This window comes from Homo sapiens, chromosome 7 (genome assembly GCF_000001405.40).
Source record: "Homo sapiens chromosome 7, GRCh38.p14 Primary Assembly".
In the NCBI taxonomy this organism is placed as follows: domain Eukaryota; kingdom Metazoa; phylum Chordata; class Mammalia; order Primates; family Hominidae; genus Homo; species Homo sapiens.
Genome location: NC_000007.14, coordinates 141,698,799 through 141,706,480, shown reverse-complemented (window position 1 = coordinate 141,706,480; position 7,682 = coordinate 141,698,799). Strand labels below are relative to the sequence as shown.

At 47.6% G+C, this 7,682-nt stretch overlaps 1 protein-coding gene and 1 long non-coding RNA gene across 4 annotated transcripts in view; both read left to right on the top strand.

The window, feature by feature from the left end:
- Nucleotides 1–2,478, top strand: part of WEE2-AS1 (WEE2 antisense RNA 1) — a 34,228-nt gene extending 31,750 nt beyond the window's left edge. For 2 of the 3 annotated variants that reach the window (NR_199841.1, NR_199840.1), the window contains one exon: nt 724–2,478. This is a non-coding gene — a long non-coding RNA (WEE2 antisense RNA 1). The remainder of the gene's footprint in view (nt 1–723) is intronic. The other variant, NR_015392.1, reaches the window with a different exon arrangement.
- A 1,836-nt stretch (nt 2,479–4,314) lies between these two features.
- DENND11 (DENN domain containing 11) overlaps nt 4,315–7,682 on the top strand; it is a 45,439-nt gene continuing 42,071 nt past the window's right edge. Inside the window, exon 1 of the mRNA NM_001080392.2 lies at nt 4,315–4,595. Within this exon, the coding sequence (NP_001073861.1) occupies nt 4,328–4,595 (268 nt within the window). The 5' untranslated portion in view covers nt 4,315–4,327. The remainder of the gene's footprint in view (nt 4,596–7,682) is intronic.

Sequence of the window (7,682 nt, the reverse complement as noted above, 5' to 3'; positions counted from 1 at the left end):
TATTACCCAAGTAGACCAGGTTTTCTTTTTTTTTTTCTATCACCTGCTGCTTTTTCTCTCTCCCTTGCTATAATTCTTGATTACCCTTATTTATGACTACATTGTTTGCCTAGGGAGGCAGCTATGCCATTGCAATGGTTGAGGTCTTATGTTATCGGCAGTAATACTGTTAGAAACTTGCACCATTCACCTTTTCATGTATTGTTACTCAGAAGATAATGATTGTGGCTAAGTCTTCAGAATAAGAAAGGTGTAACAATGAGTACAAAAAAGATATCCCAAATTTGGACAACTAAATAATAAGAATTGCATAGTTGCTGATCTGGATGACCCAAGGGAATCCCTAGAGGTGCTACCTATGGCCTCTGGCCCATGGCCTCACTATTTTTTTGGTCACATTGTAGCCTTTTCTTCATTTTTAGCCTCTTTCCATTATGAAAAATTTCATCTCTGCTTCAGTATATGTTAATCCCACAGGCATCCATCCCAGCATAAAGCTTCAGGTGATAGTTGAGATGATGTGTCAAAAGGGGGACCCATGTAATCTGTGGCAATAAGAGGAAAAGGGGAGGGTTTCCCCCTTAATGCCTAACATATAGTAGGTGTTCAATAAATTGTTTTTGGATGAATTTGGGGAAATAAATTAATATATTTCAATCATGTTTAAAATACTCCATATTTGACTTTTTAAAAAAAATTTGAATTTTTTTCTTAATGTGTCAGGAGTTGCTGCACAGGGGGAAAGCGAAGTTCCCAGGAGTAAGATGTGCAAGAAGCGGGCAGCCTTGCATCTCAGGGCTGAGTTCCCTCAACTGTGTGCTTGAGGGAAGTTCTCCCCTTGCAGACACACTGCTGAGTGATAAGGAAGCACCTAGACTCCACTCTGACCAGACTTGGTTCTGAGGCCTATGAAATGTTGATGGGAAGAACAGAAGCAGGAAAATCTATCTATTCAAATTTGCAAGACGTGGAAACTTTTATTCACCTTCCTGGTTAGACTGTTCCTTTGTCAAAGTAAAGCTAAGGCCATGGAAAATGAGCTATTTGAGAGTTTGTCGCTCCAAGGAAGAACATGCTGGCCTAATTGTCCCCCAAGTCAGGAGAGAGAATTGTAAAAAACACTTAAACAGGCCTAAGTAAAGGTCCAGCACATTATTTATTTAAGACTGAATTAGAACTGAGTCATTCCGACTCTGAAAAAAGAGTGTTGTTGGATTCTTATGTATTTAATGGGTCTGCCCTATTGAAAACCATTGTGAAGTATGGTTTCCCAAGCAAGAAATGACACTTTCACTGTCAGTCTTTCTAGGAGTCTGGCAGAATCCAGGACCGGGATTACCCTTATTTATGAAGCGACCTTAGACTAACAGTGGCTCTCTGGGTCTCCAGACAATTGGCCAGGGACTCTAAAAACCAGAAACAAAGTTGAGAGAACTCCATGCTGGTGGAGAAAAACAGCTGGCCTTTATCACCAGAATGTGCCCCATAGAAGCAGCAAAGCAGCAAGCGACGTTCTTAAACAAGGGCCTGTGGGCCTCGTCAAGATCTGGAGGAATCATCTACGACTCACTGCTGAGTGAGAGGGCTAGGCAGTGTCTTTAAGGTCCTGCCAGCTTTAACATTGTATGCTTTTTCTTTTGTTCAATCTCTCACCACAACTGGAAGTGTTGCCTCAACTACACAGGAGAAAGTTTGCAGTAACTTAGAGAAAACATTATTTTAATCACCAGTGTATGTTCTCCTGCTCCCTGGACAAATCCATCAGCAGCGGCAACACTGACCAGGTCCAGATTGGGGCCGCTGCGGTGGATGTGAATCCATTGAAACTAGGGGTCTCCAGTGCTCCTGACTCCTCACAGCTCTGTTCCTATGACAAGGATGGTCAGCAAAGCCAGCAACCTTGAAGGGGGACCTTCTTCTAATCTCCTCCCTGCCTGCTGAGAGAGTGTACAGAAGCAGCCACTTGTCAGCTGCGATGAATCCAATGATAATTACATAAATCATTAACAATACTTGATATTTGCCCATCACATTTCTCATTTCAAAGTGCTCATAAAATTGTATCTCATGGGTGGCACTGCCGGCACAACAGAATTCCAAGGAAGGATTACGGGCTAAGTAAATAAAGCCTGGAGGCTGCTTTAAAGCCTAGGAGTCTGTTATTAACCCTTTCCTCCTTTTTGTTTAACTTTTTCTCATGGAAATGTTCAAACATACCAAAAATAGAGAAAATACTATAATGAGTCCTTATGTATCCATAACCTAGCTTCAAAAATTATGTATGGCTTTACAGTCTTGTTTAGTTCATAACTGCAACTTCATTGAGGGTGAGTGCTGGGGTATTGTGAAGCAAATCAGTGACAACATATTTTACCCATGGATACTTTAGTGCCATTAATAAAAACCCCTAGGTTATTCTATTAATTTGAAATCTACTATAAATCTATCTGATGAATAAATCAAACAGATTTTAACAAATTGCTTCTCTTGCCAAAGTTTCCCATTTGCTAGAACTAGAGATTATTCATCAAAATAGCTGTGACAGTAGAAACATACCACTTGTCTACACACACAACACATAGCATACTTAGAATAGGAATAGATCTCTGATTTGATGTCCCAGTAATTTAGAGATTGATGATATCCTACCGATACTTTAAGGAGCAGACATTTTAAAACGATGGTACAGACCCACTAGTCTGACCTTTTCTCTGTTAGTCACAGTTGGGCTGTGGTCATTCCCGGAGTCCCTAAGATTAGAACAGGTAATGGGTCACCTGTGTGACCTGCACCAAGGCCAGCCCCACCGCCCCCGGCCACAGAAATAAGATCTCTCTCTCTCTCTGTCTGTCTCTGTGTGTGTATGTATGTGTGTATGTCTGTTTCTGCCTCTCCCACATCACATACATACATACACACACACACACACACACACACAGTGCCTCACTGGGAAGAAATGAGCAGGTATGGAGGAGACATTCTCAGAGATGGATCTCTACTGTGCTCCGTCTTGACTTATTTGCTGTCAGTGCTCCAAGGGATGAGCTCTGGAGGTCATCAGTAACTTGGTCAAACATCCACAGCTACTTCTTCATCCTTCTGATCCAATCAAGAGATTCCTATGCTGAAGTTTTACCTTTCAGGAAAGGCTGAACTAAATATGTAAATAATGAAAGTAGACCCTGTTCTTGGGGGTAAAATGCTGCATAAGTACATTCTTTATTGTTATATCATAGATTTTAGATTAGAAGTGGCAGCCTAGGGCAGTCATTGATTATCTTCTTAGGGATAGGGGTTAAATCACATTATCATTGCAGTGCTGACGTGTAGGACACGGAGGTTCATAAACATCCCGTGGAGTAGCACCCAGCACATAGCTCTACTGGGTCCTTTTGCGAACAGGCAAACCATGGAGCCTTGCTGAACCCTGGATGAACTGTGTACCTCCTTCTCTTGCCACCTCCTTCTTTCTATTTTAATAGCTATTCCTATTTTTATACACATCTCCTCTTAAAGAGTTACTTAGCTGCTAGATTTACCTCAAGGATTGAGGCATGTAAAATTTATTTTTAAATATAAAATGGGGGTTCACAGAAAACCCCTAATCCATTTCCAAAGCCATCAGCTTTAGAGCTGACTTTCCTCTTTCTCCCCTGAGCAACTTCCTTTTCCTGATCTTCTGAGGGAATATCCCTCGTCCCACAAATGCTCCAGCACCTCCTAATTTAATACCCTCAAGTTGTATATATACCAGGAAATAAACTCATAATCTCCATCCTAATCAGTTTGTAATATAAAAGGAAGAACAAAATTCCCAAACTTTAACCCTATGGCCTTTTCAGTGTTTATTGATGAGTATATTGCAAACACCTGGGTAGCCAGAGCACCTCTGCTTCACTCCTCTGCTTAGAAGCAGCTTCTGCCACACATCCAGGATTATGTAATACATATCTGTCACGGTCCACAGGACCAGCGGACTTTAAAAAATAATGGTGACATAAAAACTCACAGTGGTAGCTATACCACGGAACCCTAGGTGAGAAGGCACCTCCACCCGCACACAGGTGTATGGACGCAAGGATGAACGTTCCGGCCGCACGCGTCCCACACACGGACGTGCACACGGGCGCCTCCGAATAGGCTCGCGGTTCCCGAAGCCGGCTCCGCGGACGCCTGCTCTGGCTCCGTGGGAAAGGCGCCTCCGCGGCGGGGCCCCGGGCAGCGCCAGACCCGGCGGGCGGCGGCGGCGTTGGCGCGGCCAGGCGAGGGGGGTTCCCGCAGCCCGCCCGCCCCGCCCCTCGCGCCCGCGGCTCCGCCTCGCCTAGCCATGGTGGAGCAGGGAGACGCGGCGCCGCTGCTGCGCTGGGCCGAGGGCCCCGCCGTCTCCCTGCCGCAGGCCCCGCAGCCGCAGGCGGGAGGCTGGGGCCGGGGCGGCGGCGGGGGCGCCCGGCCGGCCGCGGAGCCGCCCCGGAGGCGGGAGCCCGAGGAGCCGGCCGCCCCGGAGGTGCTGCTGCAGCCCGGGCGCCTGGAGCTGGGCGACGTGGAGGAGGACCAGGTGGTGGCCGTGTTCGTGGTCACCTTCGACCCCCGCTCGGGTGAGGGCCGCGCCGGGGCCAGGCGCGTGGGGAGGGTCGGGGTGCCCCCGAGCTTTGGGGGCGCGGGGGAGGGGCTCGCTGCGCGCGCACCTGCCCTCCCGGCCCCGCACCCCGCACCAGGGCCGGCCCCGGGCTCCCGGGCTTGGGGAAGGGCGGGGGTCGGCCAGTCCTCAGCTCTCTCCCTCGGGGCGCAGCTGGGTGCTGGCGCGCGGCCTCTCGGAGCGGCCCCGAGGGCTTTGTTCCAGCCCCGCCGACCTCCTCTCCCCTCCCCTCCTCTCCTCTGAGTCCCAGCCCCACAGTGGTGTTCGCACTTCAGTGACAGGGCATCCGGTTTGTGGCCACGTTGGGTTTTGTTTTCTTTTCTTGGGGGCTAGAAGATTTTTCACGTTGTGCGGAGGAAACCCCCCGGGCGAGCGCCCTGAGCTCCCCGCTCGCCCCCCATCCCGTCCCCCGCTCCCCGCTCGCCCCCCACCCCGTCCCCCGCTCCCCGCTCGCCCCCCACCCCGTCCCCCGCTCCCCGCTCGCCCTAGCTCCCCGTCGCTTCCTCTGGGGTAACTTTCCTAGCGGCCAAGTTCACTTTCTCTGACTGCATTATTTTGAGGAATTAACGCCGGGAGCATTAAGGGATGGGGCTGAGGGATTCAGCTGAAGGCTGATTAAAGGAGAAGCCTCCCCGGATAGGCTGTCTTTCGGAGATGCTTGGAGAATTAAAGTCTTATCCCACATAATCTTAGCCTAACCACCCGGCAGGGGGGTGTGCGTTTTCCAGGTGAGAGTCCACGGGGGACAGAAGGTGGAAGAACGACCCTGCGCGCCCAGGAAGCCTTGGAGGGTCAGCTAGGGACTTCTGACTCTGAGAGTGGCTCTGCTGTTCGGGGTTGGGGGAAGGAGGTGTCATCGCAGGAGTCGTGGTGTCAGGGCTTAAGGAAACCCAGGTGTGACTGTCAATGTCTCCAGGGCAGCTGCTGGAGTGTGGAGTGCCTGTTCGTGCGGGAAAATATTGGCTGCTTTCTGGGATGAGGTGGGATGGAGTGGAGAAAAAAAGGGGTTAGGATCTGGAGAAGGGGAATCTGGTATGGCAGCTGATGATGGGTTCCAGGCCGGTAATTTTGGGGTTCTCAGCTGTAGGACACAGGAAGAATGTGGGATTCACTGTGGAGCTCCATTTGCAGGGACAGAGTTTGTGGGGACAATTCAGGCCTTTGTGACTTCTGCTTGTTTCTTTGCCACATTCCATGGCTTTCAAACTCTTTTGACTGATCTATCATGTGAAGTTAATTTTACATCACAACCAATATGCTCACATACACGTACAGTACTTATGTAACTGAAATAGACATTTCATGAAGTAGTGCTGACTCCTTCTACATGTAATGCATTCTTTTTTCTCTCTCTTTTTTTTTTTTTTCAGACAGTGTCTCACTCTGTCGCCTAGGCTGGAATGCAGTGGCTCTTTTCTCTTTTTTTTAAGTGTTCATCACACATGCTGGTTGACTCGCATTTGAGATTCCTAGATACCAGTAGTTTGAAAAGTATTGGTCTTTTTTGACCAAAGTTACCCGTAATGCTAGACAAAAACCAATACTTTGTAACTAATCATATTGCTTATACTGTACCCCATCATTTACAGGTAAACAGCTACCAGCATTTGACTTATCCTGGGAAATATTTCAGAGTAACTAGAAGGAATAGAAAGGGCACATTCACACGGTCTGATTTAGTATTGGTAGCTCCAGTGGTAGAGTCTTAGGGAAGGGAAAGAGAAAAGAAGTTTTATACTAATTACAGACAGATAGGGTGGATAATACTGATAATTGATCAATTATTGATATTGGCCAATTGATATCTATCAATTGATAAAAGCGCCAGAGGGCTAGTACCTGCCCCCATTCCTTGTCAGTCACAGGCAGTGAGCATGGCTTTGTGAATTTGTGTATACGGAGTGTGTGTGTGTGTGTGTGTGTGTGTGAGTGATGGTTTTCAGACTAAGGCTACTGTGCAAAGAAGGGATTGTAACACATTTAGACATTTTGTGCAGGCATTTTACTATAATGCTGTTTGATTTATTCTGATCACTGCTCTGTAATTTGATGATCATTTATACCCAATTTGTAAATGAGGGAACATACCAGGGATGGTTAGGTAATTTGGGAATATTAAGTAGCCAATAAATACTTGACTGTAAGTCCCATTGTCTTTCTAGTATACTATGCTGCCTGAACCCCTGCTCCCTGGCACCTGATCCTTACTTATCCAGGGATGGAGGAGAAAGGAGGGAGGAAGAGAGAGCGCAGTGTGAGAGGGAGCACTTGTAACTTGTGTTTTTTTTGTGTTTTTTTGTGGGGGGAAAGCAGTCCTTTACTGACCATAAATGTGTTTGTCTCTTTTGTCATCTATCCTAGTCCTAAATGGCACTTTGCTTCCTGTAAAAATACTCTGATAGACCTTGTACCATATAATTTTATTTTATATATATCTTAAAAGTAGGAGATGTAGTGAATGAATGCTACTGAGCTTCTGAGGGCCTCAAGGTTAGCACTAGGACAGGGCCCTCAGAGAGTGCCTGATGTACCCCTTGTGTGATGGTTCCGGTGGAGTGAGGCCCATAGTGGCACAGTGAGCTGGACCATCACTGGCCCAGCATCTTCCCCCCTTTACTGCTGAGGCAGATCTGCTATTTGTTCCTATTTAATATTGGCCCACCCAGACTTTTGCCCCTCCTTCGCCTGTGTTGCCAAAAGCGATAAAGTGAATATTGACTTCTTTACCAAAATTAGAGCATATTTTAGAAGTTCTTACATAGGTGTGATTTGTCTGCTGTTTAGTTTCTCTCGCTGGCCTGCCTGCTTAGCCACTTCCCCATGTCTCTCCCACCTGTGTCCTCAGTTTCCACTCCTAGGAGATCCTTCCTCCCCCCACCCCACACCCACCTCAACCCTCCGCCACCCCCATCACTTACTGCCCAGGCCATGGCATTATGTGCATCTTCCCATGTAATGTGGGTAACTGTTGGCATGTGTCCAAATCAGTGTGTGTGCCTGAGAGAGAGGGAGAGTGAAAGAGGAAGAAGAGAATTCATAGCTGTAC